Consider the following 22,088-nt stretch of genomic DNA (forward strand, 5'->3'; position numbering starts at 1 on the left):
TACATGTGCTAGAAAAGGTTAAAGAAAAAAAAAAGATACATTAGCCTCACCAAAACTAAAAAATCCTGCCCATCAAAAAACATCATTAAAAATTAATTAGGGCCAGGTGTGGTGGCTGCCTGTAATCCCAGTACTTTGGGAGGCCAAGGCGGGTGGATTACTTGAGGTCAGGAGTTCAAGACCAGCCTGGCCAACATGGTGAAACTCTCATCTCTAATCAAAATAGATAAATTAGCTGAGTGTGTTGGCACGCACCTGTAATCCCAGCTGCTCAGGAGGTTGAAGCAAGAGAATCACTTGAACCCATGAGGCAGAGGTTGCAGTGAGCCAAGAATGCACCACTGCACTCCAGCCTGGGCGACAGAGTGAGACTTCATCTCAAATAATAATAATAATAATAATTAGGCAAGCTACAGACTGGGAGAAAATATCTGAAGTACGTATCTCTAACAATAATCTTGTGTCCAGAATATATATAACATCCCTACAAATCATTAATAAAGAGCAATCAACCCACTAAATCTATGGGCAAAAGACCTGAAGTGCTACACAAAAAACAAAGATACATGAATGGCCAATAAGCACTGAAAGGGTGAAAGAATACCATTAGTCATCAAGGAAATATAATGAAAAGCCACACTGAGATGCCATTTCATATCCACCAAAATGACCAAAAACAAAAGGACTGACCACATAAAATACTGGAGATGTGGAGCAATGGGAAGTCTCATACATAGCTGGTGGAAGTGCAAAGATTGCACAACCACTTGGAGAACTATCTGAAAGTTTCTTATAAAAATAAACATACATCTTTCCAGTGACAATGTAATTCCTGAGCTATTTGCCCAAAAGAAATAAAAATATGTGTCACACACACACACACACACACACACACACAAACTTATACAAGAACACAGGAGCCTTATTCATAATAGTCAAAAACGGGAAACTCAAATATCCATTAACAGAAGAACAGACAAACAAATTGTGGTAAATTCATGGTAAACACTGACCAGTTGACTAATAAAAAAAGAATGAACATGTGTACAATAACAGAGATGAATCTCAAAAACGTATATACTGAGTGAAGAGGACAAAACAGACAAAACTAAGCCATCATGACAGAAATCAGAAAGTGATTGCAAAGGGTGGACGAAGATAGGAGAGAGGCAGGAATTAGAAAGGAACCAACTGGTTAGACTCCCAATGGAACTTTTTGAGGTATTACAAACATTCTAAACTTTATTTTGGGGGTATGGTCATACTCTGTATCATTTGTCAAAATTCATCAAAGTTAATATTTAAGATCTGTGTATTTTATTATACATAAATTATACCGTAATTTCTTAAGTGAAAAAAAGAATCTTAAGATGAAGCGTTAATGCAAACCACCAAAAACACTAACGACTTCTTATGTTTGACGCACTTCATTTCATGGTAGCTAGATAAATTGGAAAGAAAGCTCTTATAAACAATAAACATTAATGTAACCTTACTTGCTTTATTTGAAAAGAAATGTACCTCACTTTACAAGGGAGACAAGAAAGCTTAATTGTAAAATATACTGCTGTATTCATCATCTCAGGCATCCACTTTCATTTTCAAAGTGAGATGTCTCTAAGACTCTTACAAAAAGCATGGACAGCATTCAGAAAGATCACATTTTAAAATTCAGAGCATTTTACAGAATGAAATACAAAAAAATAAAAAAACTCACATTTGTTTAACATTACCTGGGGACTGGGCACTTTCAAGAACTACAAAGAAAACACTAGACTGTCATTATAAAAGGTACAGATTATTGGAAAATGCAATTTGGCAAGGCAAAAATTAAATTTAAAACTGAGCAAACTTATTTCTTAGAAATTGTCATAAAAGAATAGATCAAGTCTGGTGAAGACAGATGAAGAGCATGTGTGTGTGGCCTGCTATATTAGGGAGTAAAAAGGTAGAAAGGGAAAACAACAACCCAACAACTGTCCATCTCTAGGAAATTGCTGATTCCATAAATGTGTCCACTGATAATGGTATATATCTACTGACAAGAAACAAGGTCCAATAAAACATTAATGTCAGCCGGGCGCAGCGGCTCACACCTGTGATCCCAGCACTTTGGGAGGCCGAGGCAGGCAGATCACGAGGTCAGGAGTTCAAGACCAGCCTGTCCAACACAGTGAAGCCCCATCTCTACTAAAAATACAAAAAAATATGGTAGTGGTGAGCACCTGTAATCCCAGCTACTTGGGAGGCTGAGGCAGGAGAATCGCTTGAACGTGGGTGGCGGAGTTTGCAGTGAGCTGAACTCGTACCACTGCACTCCAGCCTGGGCAACTCCATTATACATAACTGCTGTTAGTCGTCTGGAGACTCTGTCTCAAAAAACAAAACAAAACAAACGAACGAACAAAAAAACAAACCATTAATGTCTGTGCCTGTGGGTGTGTGTTTGCTGAGAGTAAGTACATACATGTGTACTTCTTCAATAATTCATGTAAGACAAAACCTAGGAGGATTTGGACAAAAATGTTAATAAGTGTTATTTCTGGGTGGTAAGGTTTATAGATGATTTGCACTGTCGTCATTATTACTCTGTGAACTGCCTATGTCTACAGTATCTGTTGGAAATATAATGCAAGCCAATAACCAATTTCAATTATTTTGTAGCCAACTTGTAAATCAAAAGTGAAATTAATTTCAATAAATTTTATATACTGAATATATTAAAATTCTACCATTTCAACATGTAATCAATATTAAATGAAATAGTTTACATTTTTTTTTGCACTAAGTCTTAGAAATCCAGTGTGTATTTCACACTTACTCAACATCTCAATTTGAATTAATTACATTTCAATTGCTCAATAGCTCATGTGGCTAATGGCTACCAAGTACCATACTGGACAGTGAAGGACTAAGTCTTTAATAATCAGCACTATATTTTTAATGAGTAAGACACAGTATTTTTTAAGTAAGTCACCTGACTGCTATCAGAGCTTTTTTCAAAGTCTCGCAGCTGTGTATTACATAATGTTTTAGATTACTCCAAACTGTTCCTAGCATTCCATGGAAGATTCTTGTTTTTGGAAATGAACAGGTTGATGTAAAGTTATGGAATAAAGAGATACAACAACATAAAAATCAATCTACAATGTAGCACTAAAATAAGTCTTCCTACAGATACGTATGTGGGTGTACACATGAAGCCAATTTCTAATTTCCAGATTTTCTAACAGTGAATTTCTGACAGTTAAATTCAATAGTTACGACTATTCTATGAGCATTACTTTGAGCTCCCTTAATATGAGATTGTGATAATCCGGTGTATGTTTAATCAAATAAAGTTAAAAGCTTCTCAAACTTTCTTAGGTCTTTCTCAAAAATAGGAAAAAAATAATAATTAGGAGCATGAAACAAGGCTCAAAAAATTAAGAATTCATTCTGTGTGCCTTCAATAAACCTAAAAATTCCTATTGGAGGAATTTTCTCTCCAGTGGAAGAAAAAAGTTAAGAATTATATTGGACTTCTCTTCAGAAATCATGCAAACAAGGAGAGAGTATAGTGAAAGAGTTGAGTGAAATATTTAAAGTGTTGAAAGAAAAAAATACAACAACCTAACATTCTGTATCCAGCAAAATTATCCTTCAAACATTTTCGAAAGAGAAATAATTTTTCAACTGAAAATTGAAGAAATTTGTTACTGATACGCCTAGCAAAAAATGTTTAAAGTTCTTTAGAGAAAATGATAGAGGTCAGAAACTTGAATACACATACATACAGAAAAAATATTGTTAGAGAACGAATAAATGGTGAATAATTTTTTTCTTTTTAATTGATCTCATAGAAAATAGTTTGATTAAAATAACAGTAGACACAATGTATTCAGTTATTATAGCTTTTAGATAAATAAAATTAATGACAGTGGGGAGGGATGGGAGGAAGAAAATGGGAATATTGTGTTCTAAAGTACTCCACTATTCACAAAGCACTAGAGTATAATTCGATACTAGATTGAGATTAGTTGTACATACATATTGCAAACTACAGGGCAACCACTTAAAAAATTGTAAACATAAGTATAACTGCTGTTAGAAAAAGAGAGACAATGGAATCACATAAAATGCTCAATTAAAACCAAAGAATGGGAGAAAAAGAAAAGACTAAGGACAACAAAAACAGTTACAGTTGATATTAATCCAACTGCCAATAATCGTATGTGAATGGTCTAAATACACCAATTAAAAGAAGACTGTCAGAATGGGTTAAAAAATAACAACCCGACTCTATATAGTCTACAAGAAACCTATTTTATTTATTTCCAATTTTTATTTTAGGTTCAGGGAGTACATGTGCAGGTTTGTTATACGGGTAAATTGCATGTCACAGGGGTTTGGTGTACAGGTAATTGTCGCCCAGGTAATCAGCATAGTATCCCACTGGTAGTTTTTAAATCTTCATCCTTCTCCTACCCCCCACCCTCAAGTAGGCCTGGGTGTCTGTTGTTGTCTTGTGTCCATGTGTACTCAATGAAGACACCCATTTTAAATATAAAAACACACAGATAAATTAAAAGCAAAGGGATAGAGAAAGACAGACCCTGATAACACTAACTGAAAGAAAGCTGGAGCAGCTATATTAATTTCAGGCAAAGTATGCTTCAGAGTAAGTATGTATACACACACATATATACATACATACATATATATATGCACACATATATACCAAGGATAAAAAGGGACACTACATAATGATAAAAGGGTCAATTATACAAAAAGACATAACAATCTGTAATATGTATGCAGCTAACAATACAGGTCAAAATACATGAGGCAAAAGCCCACATAACTACAAGGACAAATATAGATAGATCCTCTATTTTACTTAGAGACTTCAACACTCCTCTATCAGTGATTGACAAGTGGGCAAAAAATCAGGAAGGATAGAACTGAACTGCACAGCACCAATCAACTGGATCTAGTTGACATTTATAGAATGCAGCATCTAACAACAGTACAATACACATTCTTCTCAAACACATATGGAACGATCACCAAGAGAGACCACATTTTGGGCCATAAAACACACCTTAACAAATTTAAAAGAATAGAAATCACACAAAGTATGCTCTCAGACCATAATGGAATGAAACTATAAATCAGTAACAGACAGGAAAATTCGTAAATATTTCTAAACATACTTCTAAATAATTCATGAGTCAAAGGAGTCTCAAGAGAAATTTTAAAATATTCTAAACTAAATGAAGATGAAAATGTAACTCATGAAAATGAGTACAATGCAGGAAAAGCAGAAATGTGCTAGAAAAGAAAAAGGATTTAAAATCAATAACCTAAGTATCTAACTTACGAAACTAGAAAAGGAAGATCAAATTAAACCCAAAGTTAGCAGATGAAAAGAAAAAAAGAATTATAGCAGAAATCAATGCAACTGAAAATAGGAAATCAACAGAGAAATGAAAGTCAATAAAACTGACAAGCTTCTAACCAGCTTAACCAAGAAAAAAAGAGAAAAGACACAAATTACTAACATAAAAACAGAAAAGGCGGCCAGGCGCGGTGGCTCACACCTGTAATCCCAGCACTTTGGGAGGCCAAGGCAGGCAGATCACGAGATCAGGAGATCAAGACCATCCTGGCTAACATGGTGAAACCCCGTCTCTACTAAAAATACAAAAAAAAATTAGCCGGGTGTGGTGGCGGACGCCTGTAGTCCCGGCTACTCAGAAGGCTGAGGCAGGAGAATGGCGTGAACCCGGGAGGCGGAGCTTGCAGTGAGCCGAGACTGCGCCACTGCACTCCAGCCTGGGTGATAGAGCGAGACTCTGTCTCGAAAAATAAAAAATAAAAAATAAAAATAAAAAAAGAAGAGGTCTATCACTATTGATCTTCCAGACATTAAAAGACTAACAAGGAATATTTTGAAAAACTCTATGCCTACAAATTTTAGTAATCTAGATTAAATGGGCCAATTCCTGGAAAGACACGATCTATCAAAATTTACACAAAAACTAGACAATCTGAATAGGCCTATGACCATTTAAAAATTGGATTAATTATTAATAACCTTCCAAAGCAAAAAACACCATAGCAGATGGTTTCACTGGTGAATTATCCTAAACATATGAGGAATACATGATAGAAATCTCTTCCAGAAATAGAAGCAGAAGGACTACTTCGTAACTATTTTGTAAAGCCAGCATTAAGCTAATACCAACACCAGATAAAGATCTAACAAAAAAGGAAAATTGCAAACCACTATCTCTCATGAACAAAGATGGAAAAAAAATCAACAACATATTAGCAAATTGAACCCAACAATATATAAGAATTAAACATCAAAACCAAGTGAAATTTATTCTAGGTATGCAAGGTTGGCTCAACACTCAAAAGTCAACTAATATAACCTATCATATCAATAGGCTAAAGAAAAACCAAATGATCATATGAACAGATACAGTAAAAGCATACTCATTCATAATAAAAAAAAATCTCAAAAATAGCAGGGAACGTCCTCAACTTGATAAAGCATTTCCATCAATAACCTGCAGCTAACCCCATACTTACTGGAGAAAAAGTAGACTGTTCCTCCCCTAATACTGGGAACAAAGTAAAAATGTTTCCTCTCACCACTCCTATTCCATATCCTTCTAGAAGTTCTAGCTAATGTAACACAATAAACGGTATACAGATTGAGAAGGAAAAAATAAAACTGTCTTTGTTTGCAGATGACATAATTACCAATGTAGAAAATCCTAAAGAATCAAAGAAACAAAAAATTTCTGGAAACCAATAAGCCTTTATATCAAGCAAGGTTGTAGCATACAAGGTTAATATGCAAAGTCAACTGCTTTCCTGTGTACCAGGAATGACCAATTAACACCTGAAATTAAAAACACAGCACCACCTATATTAGTACCAAAAAAAATCTCTGTATAAATCTAATAAATAAGATCTATATGACTACAAAATTTTGATGAAAGAAATCAAAGATGACCTAAACAAGAGGTATTTCAGGTTCACATAGGAAAAAAATACTGCTCAAATGTCAATTTCCACAAATGGATCTATAGATTCAATAGAATCCCAGTCAAAATCCTAGTTATTTTGTGGATATCAAAAAACGGAAAGATATGGAAAGGAAAAAGACTCAGAATAGTCAACACAATGCTGAAGAGTAAGAGTAACATCAGAGGACTGACACTACCTGTCTTCAAGACTTACTATAAAGCTGCAGTAATCAGGCAGTGTGGCCTTGTTGAGAGCAAACACAAATAGACAAAATAGACTGGTGGCCCAGAAGTAGACCCATACAAATGCAGTCAAATGATCTTTGACAAAGGAGCAAAGGCAATCCAATAAAGAACTGATAATAATCTTCTCAACAAGTGGTAAAAAGCTAGACATCCACGTGCCAAAAAAAAAAAAAAAAAAAAATCAAATCCAGGCACTGACCTTATGACTTACACAGAAATTAACTCAAAACGGATGAGAGATCTAAATGTCAATTGCAAAACTGTAAGAGTTCTAGAAGAGAACATAAAACAAAACCTGGGTGACCTGGGGGTCGGTGATGACTTTTTAGATACAATACCAAAAACATGATCAATCCATGAAAGAAAAAGCTGATGAACTGGATGGACTTCATTAAAATTAAAAACTTCTTTCTGTGAAAGACACTGATAAAAGAAAGAAAAGGCAAGCCACAGACTCAGATAAAAATACATGTGAAACACACAGCTGATACAGGAATTGATTCTGAAATAGATAAGGAACTCTTAAAGCTCATCAATAAGACATAAACACACCCAATAAAAAATCTGACAAAGGACCTGGACGTCTCACCAAAGAAGATATACAAATGGCAAATAGTCATATGAAAAGATGGTCAACATCATATGGCATTAGGGAATTGCAAAAGCAATGAGATATGATAGCAAAACTATTAAAATAACTAAAAATCCAAAACACTGGTAAAACTAAATGCTGGTGTGAATGTGGTGCAACAGAAACAGGGAGCCAGTCTATAAAGGCTACATACTGTATGATTCCAACTATATGACATGCTGGAAAAGGCAACACTATAGAAAATGTAAAAAAAAAAAAAAAAAAAAAAATCAGTGAGTGATAGGATTTCAGCAGGGAGGGGCGGGAGGAATAACTGCAGTGCAGGGTATCTGTAGGGCAGTTAAACTATTCTGGTATGACACTGTAACGGTGGACATGATGTTATGTACTTGTGAAACCAAAACCCAATGATCTGTACAATACAAAGACTTAAATCTAACGTCAACTATGAACTTTAGTTAATAATAATGTATCAATACTGGATCATCAATTGTAACAAATTTACCTAATACAAAATATTATTAATAGGAGAAACTGAAGAGTAGGGAAGGAGACAGAGTATATGGCAACCCTTTGCACTTTCTGCACAATTTTCCTGTAAATGTAAAACTGCTCTAAAAAATAAGATTTCATTTTTTAAAAAAATGCATGCCAGCTACCTATATTGAGCAAGCAGTCCTTCAAATATAAATATAAACAAACAACCAAGAATAATAAGACAGCTGAGGAAAACCAGCAGCAAAGAGTAGAGTGACTACAATGAATACACAGTGCAAGTGTCTGACCAAAAAAAAAAAAAAAAATTCAATGGGAATTAAAAAAAACTATCTGTATCTTCAGAAATATTTACTTAAGTATTATTGTAAAGAGCACACAAAAGAGCAGGTTGCTATTAAAACAGATCAATTAGCAATTATACAAATGACTTCATGGAAAAAAAATAGCTTCTTACCATCAAAAATTCAAGACTTATTAAAAGAGTCAAGGTAAATTTTACAAAATCTGGCATTCAATCAAAAGTTGCCAAAAATGCAGGAAAAAAAAAAAAACAGGAAAAGACCCATAGTGAAAATAGGAATAAAACAGAAACTGACTCAGATGATAGGAGACAGGACATTAGAACAGTTGTTATATCTGTAGTCCATATATTTTAAAATGTAGCTAGCAGACAGGACATTAGAACAATTGTTATATCTGTAGTCCATATATTTCAAAATGTAGCTAGAGCAAAGACTGGACATATATTTAAAAAACACGCAAATCAAACTTCTAGAAATGAAAACTACAATGTCTGAAATGAAAAATACAGTGGACGGTTTTTATGGCAGATTAGATATTGTAGACAAAATATTTGTGAATTTAAAGGCATAGCAACAACTGCTATCCGAAAGAAACACAGAAAAGGAAAAAGCAAGGAGGAGGAGGAAGACGAGGAGGACAGGGAGGAAAAAATGCTATACAGCAGTGAGGTATGGGACAACTTCAAGCAGTCTAATATATCTGAAACGCAGGGCCAGGGAAAGAGAAGTAGATACTTGAAAAAATCATGTCTGAAGTTTCCAAACTTGATGTAAACTTAGTTAAAACCCAGCAAGATAAAGAATAAGAAAACTGCACAAAGGCACATCATAATCAGATCCCTTCAAACTAGTAATAAAGCGAAAAATCAGAAAAGCAGTCAGAGAAAAAAAGATACATTATGTACAGAAAATTAAAGAAAAAAACAACAGCAGATTTCCTGTCAGAAATAATGCAAACCAGAAGATACTGGAGCAGTATCTTTAAAGAACAGAAAGAAAAACCTATCAACTTATAATTTTATACCCAGAGAAAATTTCTTTCAAGAACTGGGATAAAATACAGACTTTTAAGTTATATCAACCTGAAAGAATTTATAAGTAGAAGACCTGCATTACAAGAAACATTTTAAAAGAAGGAAAGAAAAAAATACTTCTCCTTCTCACTGCAAGAAAATGATACCAGAGAAATACCTAGATTTAGACAGATGAATTAAGGGTACCAGAAATGATAACCAAGTGAATAAATATAAGGTTTTTTTCCCTTACTATTTAAATGTCTCTAAAAGATAACTGAATCTTTACAGCAAAAGCTATAAAAATGCATCATGGAATTTATAACATTTGTAGAAGTAAAATACATGGCAACAATACAGCATAATAGTCGGTAGGGCTACGTCACTGGGTGATAGGGATTTTTCTGCTCCATTATAATCTTATGGGGCCTTATCACATATGTGGTCCATCACTGACTGAAACACCATTATGTGATACATTACATTATGTAATACCTGGGTATTATTTTGCACTTCAAAAAAAATGTTAAAGAAATGGGTAATGTATATATAAGAAAAGTATAAAAGTGCAGAAGAAAACAAGACAAATAATAAATAAAAATTCTTGCTTTCCAATGGGAAGCCTCAATATGTCAATCTTCCAAAATTAATCTACAAATCCAATGCTACTCCAAATCAAGCCAAATGTTTTTTGGTAAAGGATAAAGCCTTAGAAAAAAACACTAAGCACATGCATATTAAAATAGCCAGAAAATATTGAAGAGTAATGAGAGACTTACTCTTATCAAACTGTATCATCATTATGAAGCTACACTAATTAAAATCCAGTGTACTGGCCAAGAAATAAACAAATGAAAGAAATAGAAGAAACTTCAAAAATAAGTCTAAGACTTAGGGCTGTCTAATCTTTTGGCTTCCCTGGGCCACATTCAAAGAAGAATTGTTTTGGGCCACACATAAAATACATTAACCCTAACAATAGCTGATGAACTTTTAAAAAATTGCAAAAAAAAATATCATGTTTTAAGACTGTTTATGAATTTGTTTTGGGCTGTATTCAAAACCGTCCTGGGCCACATGCAGCCCATGGGCCACGGGTTGGAAAAGCTTGGTCTACGTACTCCTTGTAATTTAGTAAATTATAAAAGCAGCATTTCAGACAGGCGCGGTGGCTCACGCCTGTAATCCCAGCACTCTGGGAGGCTAAGGTGGGCAGATAACGAGGTCAAGAGATCAAGACCATCCTGGCCAACAAGGTGAAACCCCATCTCTACTAAAAATACAAAAGTTAGCTGGGCGTGGTGGTGCATGCCTGTAGTTCCAGCTACTCAGGAGGCTGAGGCAGGAGAATCTCTTGACCTGGGAGGTGGAGCTTGCAGTGAGCAGAGATAGCGCCACTGTACTCCAGTCTGGGTGACAGAGCAAGACTCCGTCTCCCAAAAAAAAAAAAAAAAAAAGCATTTCATATGGGAGAAAATAAATTGCTCAATAAATGGTGTTGGGACAACTAGCCATTTATAAAAATAAAAAGCTGGATTTCTATTACATTCCTTTTCCAAATTCACTTCCAGAAAGATTAAAGATTTAAATGTTCAAAATAAAACCATAAAAATACCAGAAAAATGTGAGCAAATATTTTTGCAATTCTGAGCTAGGGAACTTGATATGATAATAGAAAGATTATTCCACTTAACTACAAAAAATGTTAAACCTGTACAATGACCAAAACCAAGTACTTGTCAAAAGATAAATGACAAACCACAAAAAATACTACAGTATAGAATTATTATCTTTAACATATAAAGTGCTCCTCCAAGTCACTAAGACAAAAACAAATAATCCAATAGAAAATTGGTCTAAGGACAAGAAGAGGCAATTCACAGAAGAAATATAAATGGTCAACTGATATGAAAAGATATTCAATTTCACCAAAAACTATGAATTGAACAATAAGATGTTTTCACCAGTGTGAGACTGTCTACAGGGAAAACTATTACACCCATTAATAGAGGTTAATTACACATAAATATAACTTGATATAAGGCAGTAATATATTAATAAAAAGGATGCAACAGATATAAACATGGAAATATATATTTATATATATTAATAAAAGTGAAAAAGTTAAGTTGCAGAACAATATGTATACCATGTTTCTAGCAAATTAAAGAGAATAGCACTTTAGCACTTGGCCAAAGCCATCCTCTTCCAATGCTGCTGGCCAAGTAAAACATTAGCTAGACTGTTCCCTCTGTAATCTTGAGCTTGACACCTTCACAGATCTAATCCCACTCCCACAGCCGCAATAATCAACACTAGAGTCCAAAGTTCTAGTTCCTACTATCTAGCCATTTATAGTATGAGGTTTTGTTGTCATCCAGAATTCACAAGCCAATTAAATATTGCCAATTTTTTCTTCACGTTTCTGGTATCTAGCCTTGGAATGACAACTAGATTTCATCTATCGTGAACCTGGACAATTGGTAGTGGTTGCCTCTAGGAATACAACAGGTAGTTAGAAACCATGTCTGAACTCAGTAGGAAAAAATGCTGTGATTGTTGGTGTCTGCCATGGACACATACATCAAGGACTTAGTCCTTTTTTTTGCTATACATCAGGGGTGTCCAATCTTTTGGTTTCCCTGGGCCACATTGGAAGAAGAAGAATTGTCTTGAGTCACACACAAAATACGGTAACACCAATGATAGGTGATGAGCAAAACAAAAACAAAAAACTGCAAAAAAAAAACCCAAAATCTCAAACTGTTTTAAGAAAGTTTATGAATTTGGATTGGGCCACCTTCAAAGCCATCCTGGGCCGCAGGTTGGACAAGCTTGCTCTAGAAGCTGCCACAATTCCAGGTTTCTTAGTCAGATCTGATGTGCTGAACTAATAAATAAGAAATTTAGTAAACAATAAAGTATTACTCAATCCTTATTTCTATTATGAATAATAATTTCCAATTTTCTTTCTCCAGATCCTTCCTATCTTGAAATTTCTTGAAGAAATCTTAGTGTTTCCTTACTTTCTAGGGAATAAAGTTCAATCCTTAAGACTTGAAGTTCAAAGGTCTTCCAAAATCTAGCCTCAATTTACTCTTCAAACTTACCATCCACTATCTGCCCAAGCAAATGTCATTCTCAATTCTAGCCAACCAGTCTCCTCAATGCCTCCTAAAATTCTATACACATTTTCTATCCCAAACTTTTGTTTACACATTTCCTGATATAAACACTCCCCAACTAATGATGGTTCCACTTACAATTTTTCAGCTTTACAATGGTGCGAAAGCAATATGCATTCAGTAGAAACCATACTTTGAGTACCCATGCAACCATTTAGTTTTGTACTTTCAGTACAGTATTCAACAAATTATGTAAAATATTCAACACTTTATTATAAAATGGGCTTTGTGTTACATCAGGTTGCCCAACTGTAGGTTATTGTAAATGTTCTGAGCACATTTAAGGAAGGCTAGGCTAAGCTATAATGTTTGGTGGGTTAGGTGTGTTAAATGCATTTTTGACTACAACATTTTCAACTTACGACAGGTTTATCAGGACATAATCCATCATAAGTAGAAGAGCATCTGTACCTGATAAGCTGCTTGTTTCTGACATCAATTCTCTAGGCTATTTAAGGTTTTTCATATTCAAGTCCCACAATGATATACCTATCTCTCCTCTCTATTATTCAAATCTTTTATACATTTATATATGTGTGTGTGTGTGTGTGTGTGTGTGTGTGTGTGTGTGTATATATATATATATATGCTGGTTTGCAGCATATATCTTTTTGTGCATAATTTTTGTCTTCTTCAGCTATACAGTGAATAACTGAGGGGTAAAACCTGGATTTTCCTTACTGCTCCCTCATATTCCAAGATACTGGGAGGGTGTTATGTGCTTAGTAAGTCCTCAAGACTTGACTACGTTTCACTAATAAAAATCATTTCAGTTTCTAGCTAGTTTATGCATCAGTTTATGTATTAGTAAAGGAGTTGATTGATAAGACATATATATCTCATACATATGTCAGATATATCTCATATATTATCTTTTATATATATATCTTTCATTTGATCACATTTTCTTGAGGGGCTTTTCTGTATTTACCTCTTCAACATTACAGTCAATTATTTGGTCTCTTTAAAAAAAGGGTTACAATTCCTCTACAGTGCATTAACTCCTATGAGAAAATAATGTTTTCTAATTAGTTTTACTCTCCTATATGCTATTATATCAGTATAACTCTCGAATACTTCTGAGACTACTAACATAGATGCAATAAATAAGATTTATTTTGTATTACACTATATTTATGAATATGGTTAAGCATGCCAAATGTCTCCTAATTACTAAATACTTAATACAGCAGGTCCTCAAATAACATCCTTTTGTTCAACATCATTTTGTTCAATGTCCTTTCATCATAACTTTTTTTTTTGTTTTTAAGAGACCAGGTCTTCCTATGTTGCCCAGGCTGGAGTGCAATGCCCTCATCATGGCTTACTGCATCCTTGAATTCCTGGGCTCAAGTGAACCTCCTGCCTCAGCCTCTGGAGTAACTGGGACTACAGACATGGGCCACCACTACCAGCTACTTTTTCTTGTAGAGATTAGGTCTATGTTGCCCACGCTGGTGGCAAACTACTGGCCTCAAGTGATCTTCCTGCCTCAGCCTCCCAAAGCGCTGCGATTAAAGGTGTGAACCACCACGTCCAGCCCATTATTAACTTTGATGAGAAAAGAAAATCATTTTCAAGCTGGGGTCACTGTCTGTGTGGAGTTTGCAGGTACTCCCCATGTCTATTGGGTTCTCTGGGTACTTGGATTTCCTCCCACATCCCAAAAATGTGCATGTTAGGTTCACTGGTCTGTCTACATTATCCCAGGATGAGCAAGTGTGCGAGTGAGTTGTGGGTGTAGGTATGAGTGCACCCTGCGATGGGATGATGTCCTGTCCAGGGTTGGTTCTTGCCTTGTACCCTGAGCTGCCAGGATAGGCTCCAGCCACCTGAGACTGAAGTGAAGTAACTGGGTAAATAATTATCTTGTTTTTATTACTCTTTCTTAAATGTGTTACAGCTCACATTTATTTCATTAATTAATATTAGAAGTGTTTTTGTCTTTATTTAGAAGTTTGGTGATATATGCTACAGAAACTTAGCTCTTGTTTATATCAATTACCCTATGGTAAAACTGGTTTCATTATGTGTTGTTTCACCTAAAGTCACAGTTTCCAAGAATCCATCAACGATGCTAGGTGACCTATAAGAATTATATTTATAGTTAACAATGTATATCCTATTACTGTGACTATGAATGTATAAACTTTTGTTTCTAGAACCTTTAGAGTAAGAGTGAACTCTATTAGGAAAGCTATGACTTCTAGACAGAATAAATTATAACAAAGTTCAACCCTTATCTGCTCTTTTAAAATCTGTTTTTCTACTCAAAACTAGAATGGGCTACCATTATACTTCCATTAATATTATTTATTTAAAAAATCTATAGAATATGGACAAAAGTGAAATACATGAGATTACTACAAGCATGCATTTCCTTAGGAAAGTTTTGCTCTTACCAGTTTTTATAAAGACTTTTTAAAAATCTTACTATAGAAGACTAGAATACTGATACACATGGTAGGAATTGCTCAGCAGCAAAACAAATAGAACCCGGCTCCTCTGTACTTTGGCCAACGCTTAAGTAGCTCCAATTCTATATGTTATGAGGAATCCTGAATGTCCTAATCAAACCTGCTCTCTAATCAAGACTTTATTTCCAGACTTTATAATCTGATATTACTCATAGATACAATTTTTACATTAAAAGATAACTTTTTAAAAAAATAGTATATTTTAAATAAAATCCCTACAACTGTCCACAACAGAGAGATGGCCAAAGAGTGACTGGCAGAACTTGGTGAAAGAGACACTGTTCAAAAGGCCCAGTCACATCTTTTCCTCAAGAGCTGTGCTTTCTAATATCCAGAGCACAGCAAGAACAGAAGTTGAATAAGCAAGAAAGACAGTAAAAGATAAAACCCAGCCCTTTGCATCTTAAAAGCATGCCTAATTTTGGCATTCATTTGGGTTTCAGAAAAGTTCTGTCAAAGGTTCTAGTGTCTCTTGGTATGCTGTTTCAGGAATACAAAATTCACTAATATAATAAGCCATAATTTCAGCATGTTGTCCAGTGCATTACAAAAAAATTTAAGAAAACCAAGATTATTTTAATCACACAAATGAATCCCCACAGTAACCTCAATCTTGAATCAGTCTCTAAAGTAACCAAGTCAATTCACTATAACTATTAAGTCTACCACTGAAACTAAAAACCGATTTTTTTAATATTGGAAAATAAGCAGTAACATGTAACACCTATCATATCACTAATACAATTTCATCCAGAATTAGGATTCTAGATGGAATTGGTTAACAAAAGAGAAATTCTTAAAAATAATTCCATCTTAACCAAAAAAGCAGTTTCTAATAACCCAAAAATACATTATAATTACAAATAATAATTCTAAGTTAGCTAAGAGTTGGTAATTCTACTACTAATGCTTTTTTATTCTGTTCACTCTGCTGTTTTAAAAGTGAAATGCCTATTAAATTACAATGCTTAGAAAAAGGTGAATTAAAAATGGGAATTTTCAATGAAATAATTCAGGATTATCTACCTTCTGCTTAGATATATGCTATATTAGTCTCGGCTGTGCAAAACACATATATGCTAGAGTTAACATTAGGCCTGTTCTTTCCCTGCTAGAGTCCCTGGAATCTAGAATAGTTAAACTGATTAAGCATTAAAGCTGGAAAGACTGTGGAGTTATCTTGTCTGACCCTTCATTTTCAAATTAGAAAAGTGAAGTTCAGGAAGGGAGAAATGGCCAGGCACAGTGGCTCACACCTGTAATCCCAGCACTTTGGGAGGTTGAAGCGGACAGATCACCTGAGGTCAGGAGTTCGAGACCAGCCTGGCCAGCATGGTGAAACCCTGTCTGTACTAAAAATACAAAAATTAGCCAGGGGTAGTGGCACACGCCTGTAGTTCCAGCTACTTGGGAGGCTGAGGGAGGAGAATAACTTGAACCTGGGAGGCCGAGGTTGCAGTGAGCCGAGATCGTGCCACTGCACTCCCGCCTTGGCGACAAAGCAAGACTCTGTCTCAAAAAAAAAAAAAAAAAAAATTCCTGTTCATATTCACAATGTATGGTAGCAGAGCATGGACTAAAATTCAGGAACTCCTAACTTTTTCATCAGGACCCCTTTCTTCCTCTTCAATTAGCAGCCAGGGAGGCTCAGGCTGCCCAGACACTCCCCAAAGAGATACATTCAAGCTGCTCCTTAACTTTTAATTTACACACCTATAATTAACTGACTTTAAAATTGTTAATTTACCTAAGTCAAAACAAATACAATATAGAGCTGAAAATTTTACTCTAAATCCTCCCTGCCAGTAACAGGAAATCTAAACTGAGCACTGAATAGTATTCATAACAACTTTCTTTCATATGCTCCTCCAAACTCCCAGAATACTTTGTGTCATGGACTCTAAGTATTTTCCATAATGATTGAATTACTCTTTGAAATCCTTGACTAAGCCCATTTTACAAATCTAGACATGAAGGCTGAGACTAGTTAAGAAATGTCCCTGTATTATATATATAGAGCTAAGAATAACCAGAAGTAAAATTCATAACCCAACCCTGTTGGACTTTTCTGAATCTCTTCTTGTGCTTACAGCTACGCTGCGTCACATACATTTTTGTGCTCATCTTTTTCCTCTATACTAGACAAAGGTATCTTCTCATCTTTGTATATTCCAAATCCAGTGAATTTTAACTTTTATCTTTCCTTACTACTCAAGGTGAAATACATTCCCGGTCTAAACTTTCCACCAACAGTGCCTTACTCAGGCCATCATCAATACAATGATCCCTCTAAGCATATCCTTCCCTGTATGCCTATGTAAGAATCCCTACCCAACAGGTCTGATTTAGAACACAAACAAACTACTGTTAGACAACTGTTACCACCTATATTAGTTCAGCAGCACAACTAAACCATTTCGGTCGCTTAATAAATGAAGACTAAAGTCCAGATACCATGTGCATTAGAAACTGAAGGGCTTAACAACCTAATCAAGCAATAAGAAACGCAGAATGAGCTCCTAAAAAATAAACGAGTAATTATAATTATTCAATCAATCAATAAGTATTCACTGATCTGGGAGCCAGAAGTTACAAAAATTATAGAAGACTACCTAGGCATAAAGTCTATCTCCAAGAATTATATATAGTGAGGAAACAAAAAACTAAAGAAAATAAGCAAGTTAAAACAAGTGCTGAGGAGTTAAAGGAAATAAAGATTAAGGTTGATTAATAAAAATGGCTTAAGTATCACTAAATCTTGAAAAAACAAACCAGGTGAGTATGGCAGGGAAAGATAATGCTCAATAACATTATCAGCCCCAATCCATATAAACCAGATATGGCTGTAGAGACGTAGTTTAATGTTTTATTTTTTCCTATTCCTTAGTTTCTCACTTATTCAGGACTATATATGTTGAACTTCACTTAGCAAAACTGCACATACTCTTTATATAAAATTAACTGAATCACACTACATGAAAGGCAACAGATCTAACTACAAAATAAGACCTAGTAATCTTGTTTATAACCTTCTCATTCTCCCTTCATAATACTACCAGCTAATGAATGGCATCAGAACTATTTATGTAAAAGTACATATCATGTATTTATGTATTACAATGAAATCTCAATTTCCACAAAATGAATTTTTAGAAACTGTGGTAAAACAAAAGATTTACTGATGATCTGCCTCCTCCATGAAGCCAATCACCAATCCAGAGTCTCATTAACATTTAGGCATATTTGCAGCGAATGAGAATAAAAATATGTTTCTGTGTACTTTTTCTGCTGGTGGTTATAATGCCTGCCTTTATTGAAACTCCCTTCCCTCACCTTCTATATATAACTGGGACTAATTTCTGCTGGAGACTTTAATTGTTCTTGAATTCCCAAAGTACTCTCTTAATTCAGGCCCTCATCATATTTCACCTGCAATACTATAAATCAACTATCTGATTTCCCTTGTCTTTCCCTCACAATCCTCAATCCACCTTCTATACTGCCTCCACCTTTCCCCTGAAAATTTTCTAAGTCAAATATGATCTTGTGAGTCCCCATTAAATAGTGCAATACTTCCCCAACTGTATCTCCTTCTTAGTTGTGAAATGTACACTGGTATCTTCAGCGGTGAGAGAAATGCTGTACTAAAAGAATTTGGTTTAACTTAATTTAGCTTCAATTTGCAAAATATAGACCAAAAATTGAAGAAAAATCTATTAAGATTTCCAATGTGCTCAAGGATTATCCTATCAGACAACGTGGACTTTAGCAGTGGTTTTCAAACTGTGATATACTTTAGAATTTTCTGTCAAGCTTGCTAAAAATAGACATGTCCAAGCTTCACCTCAGATCCAGTGATTCTGAGTAATATCTAGGAATTGGGCCTAGGCATATGCATTTCTCATAATCTCCACAATGATTCCAATTCATACCTAAATCTGAGAGCCCAAGCAGAAGCCCTCCTTGCTCCCTAACAAACCTAACAAACTTATTAGTAGGTCTCCTAACTTTTCAAGCTGTTTCATACCTCTCATCAGCCTAGGGAGTACCTGTTTAAATATAAATAATCAGTTATCCATTTTAAAAAGCTTTTAATCATCCTCTCTCCCACCATTCTCTCCTTTAATCCCCTAAACCTTTATAAAAATAGTTTCCATATATTTATACACAGTCTTAATCCACACAACTACCCCATGAGATAGTATCCTTGTTTTACAGATGAGAAAACCAAATCTAGGATAGGAAGCTCAAGAAACTTGTCCAAAGTGACCCCCAGTTTGAACCCACATTTGCTGTTACAAAGCCAAGGCATTTTCTACTGTGAAAAGCAGCCTCTTACACATCACTCTGAAGCACTGACTTATCAGTTTACACGTTTCCCTTTTTAGACCTAGTAAGCTCCCTGAGGACAAGTATCAGCCCTTCCAGATTTTGACCTCAACATTTATTCAATACATGTTTGTTGAATGAAAGAAGAAATGAAGCTCCTCCAGAGCTTCGACTATAACTGCTTCTGTTTCATTTCTTGAATTCTTAGGTAGAGCTCTGAGTACTGAGTATACTTCTGCCTAACACATTTGGTCTGACCTGTAAATCTTACTGCTGGATTTATTATGAGACAATATATTTCAGTAATGTTTTAAAGGACAAAAACAACCTGAATAATCAGCCAAGGGAGGAAAAGATTATTTCAAAAATTAAAATATCACTCTTACTTCACTCTCTATTAACTAGGGACTTCAAATATTGAAATTAGTATTTGCAACGACTTCATCCCACAAAAGCAGACAACTGAAAGTGTGGTTTTTAAATGACAAATTCAAAAGGTACAGTTGATTAATAAAAGATGGCATAAAGAAATTAAGCACTGAATACTGAGAGCCTATTCAGCAATCCACTTACACTAACCAATGTGCAACATCATTTTTCTCTATCACAGTATTTTTCCCCATCTGCCATTTTTCGAAACCAGTAAAACTACAGGTAAGCACAGAACAATTAGTATACTTGTGTATAAATGTAATGTCCTTTCTGCCTAAAGTTAATGTGTCTGGTATGTAGAACACAGCACAACTACTTCCTTTTTGATACAGGTTACATAGCTAATCTACTAAACCAGCAACTGAATTTTTTTCATTGGAGGTAACTAACATTCAAAGTGCTGAAGATTTTCCTAAACTGAGCATATGCAAACATTAGTGGTGCTTTAAGAATCTTGTATTTTAATTAGTTTTTGGTGAAAAAGGCAAAGTGGTTATTTCTTTAACACCACTTTTAGAAATAAATCAGTAACAGGAAAAAAAAATACCCTTCTAAAACAACATGATGTAGTGCAAAGTACAATGGGATAGGACTAGGTGTGAGGAGTCCTGGTTTTCTAGTTCTGGTTACATTATTAAATTGCTGTATGACTTGGGCTCACTGGATCAGTTTTCTCATTTGTTGAAAAAAGTGTGTGTGAATGGGGAGGGGCTTAAAGTTGTTACCCAAAATTCTCGTTTTGAGCCACTCCTCTTGTTTCATCCTTCTAATCAGGAAACTCAATGTTCTCTAAGGTCTAAATTCCGAAATATGAAACACATCTGAAATTGAATGGAACGATTCAATCTCCAACCGGATGGCACAAGATACAAAGGGTGGACTCCTATGAAGTTAACAATGAATCCAATAACTTTCCAGAAATTGTCTAATCCTAACTTCTTAAAGAAGCAGGTGAAATCTGGTTTGGCATACCTAATATTACTTAAAGGAGTTATAAAATGGTATTGCTTTGTTGAAATTTCCGTGTTTTCTGGGTTCCAGTGGCACATACTCTGCAGGTGCTAGCAAAGTGGAGAGAAAGGGATCCAGCCAGTATTTCAACAAACCACACTTCAACCCAGTCACCGCAGTATGATCCCGACAAGGCCTACACCACAGAGCAGAACCTCCCCACCCCCAGAATTGCCAGCAGCCAATGTAATGAATGCTTCCGTCAACAACACACATTCCCCTTCCCACAGCAGAACTGCTCGCTCCCAACCGGCCATCTGGGGTTGGAATTGGCCGCACAGCACCAAACTAAGAATCATTCTCGGCCCCAAAAGCCAAGAGCTACCAGAGATTGAGGTTTCCCTGCGCATGGCTGCGGGGAGAGCAGCACCCCCTCCCACCAATGGGGGGAAAAAAAAAATCAGTGGGAAGGAGAGTAGAAACCAGGCCTAGGCAAGGTTGCTAGAGAAATAAATCTTGTTTCTCTTTAACGAAGAGCAATAACATTTCTTGCACCCTCTCTAATCCGAAGAGAGCCCAGGCTCTTGCACTCGACTTCATTCCCTCCTGGAATCCTAATGGGAGATTAAAAACCACCTTCCTTCCCCGACCTATCCACTCCTCAAACCTGGCATTGTTAAGGAACGTACCCCCAGATCAAGCAGTAAGAGGTGAAGCGAGAGCTAGAACAAGGGCCCAGATTCTAGGACCAAGCGGCTCTTGCAAGAAAATCCCCTTGTGGCCTGAGAATAAAGTTTTAACCAGCAGCAAGGGCGCGGGCCGAGGCCCGGCCAGGCTGGAGGACAGGCCTGCGGAGGTGACACTCCCTTATTCTCCAGCAGCTCGGGAAGGCGGCGCCCGACCGCCACGGCCCGCACCCTGGGAGCAGGGCGAGGGCGCCGACGAGGGGCCGGGGCCGGGGCCGGGGCTGGCGGGAGGCCTGGCCCGCGCCGCTCCCGCCTCCTTCCCCACTCCCACTTCCCGGCCCCCAAGCCCGGGCCC

General features: G+C 35.9%; 1 protein-coding gene across 1 annotated transcript in view, besides 2 other annotated features; it reads right to left on the minus strand.

The window, feature by feature from the left end:
- Window positions 1–22,088, minus strand: part of WASL (WASP like actin nucleation promoting factor) — a 67,061-nt gene that overhangs the window by 44,543 nt on the left and 430 nt on the right. The window lies entirely within an intron of this gene.
- Window positions 21,439–21,488: an enhancer, noted in NCBI's record as "active region_26570". NCBI's record gives its function as "activates an Ori minimal core promoter by ATAC-STARR-seq in GM12878 lymphoblastoid cells {active_cell/tissue: GM12878}" and the evidence as "EXISTENCE:reporter gene assay evidence [ECO:0000049][PMID:35858748]".
- Window positions 21,931–22,020: a silencer, noted in NCBI's record as "silent region_18587". NCBI's record gives its function as "represses an Ori minimal core promoter by ATAC-STARR-seq in GM12878 lymphoblastoid cells {active_cell/tissue: GM12878}" and the evidence as "EXISTENCE:reporter gene assay evidence [ECO:0000049][PMID:35858748]".

The sequence above is a fragment of the Homo sapiens genome, chromosome 7 (genome assembly GCF_000001405.40).
Source record: "Homo sapiens chromosome 7, GRCh38.p14 Primary Assembly".
Classification (NCBI taxonomy): domain Eukaryota; kingdom Metazoa; phylum Chordata; class Mammalia; order Primates; family Hominidae; genus Homo; species Homo sapiens.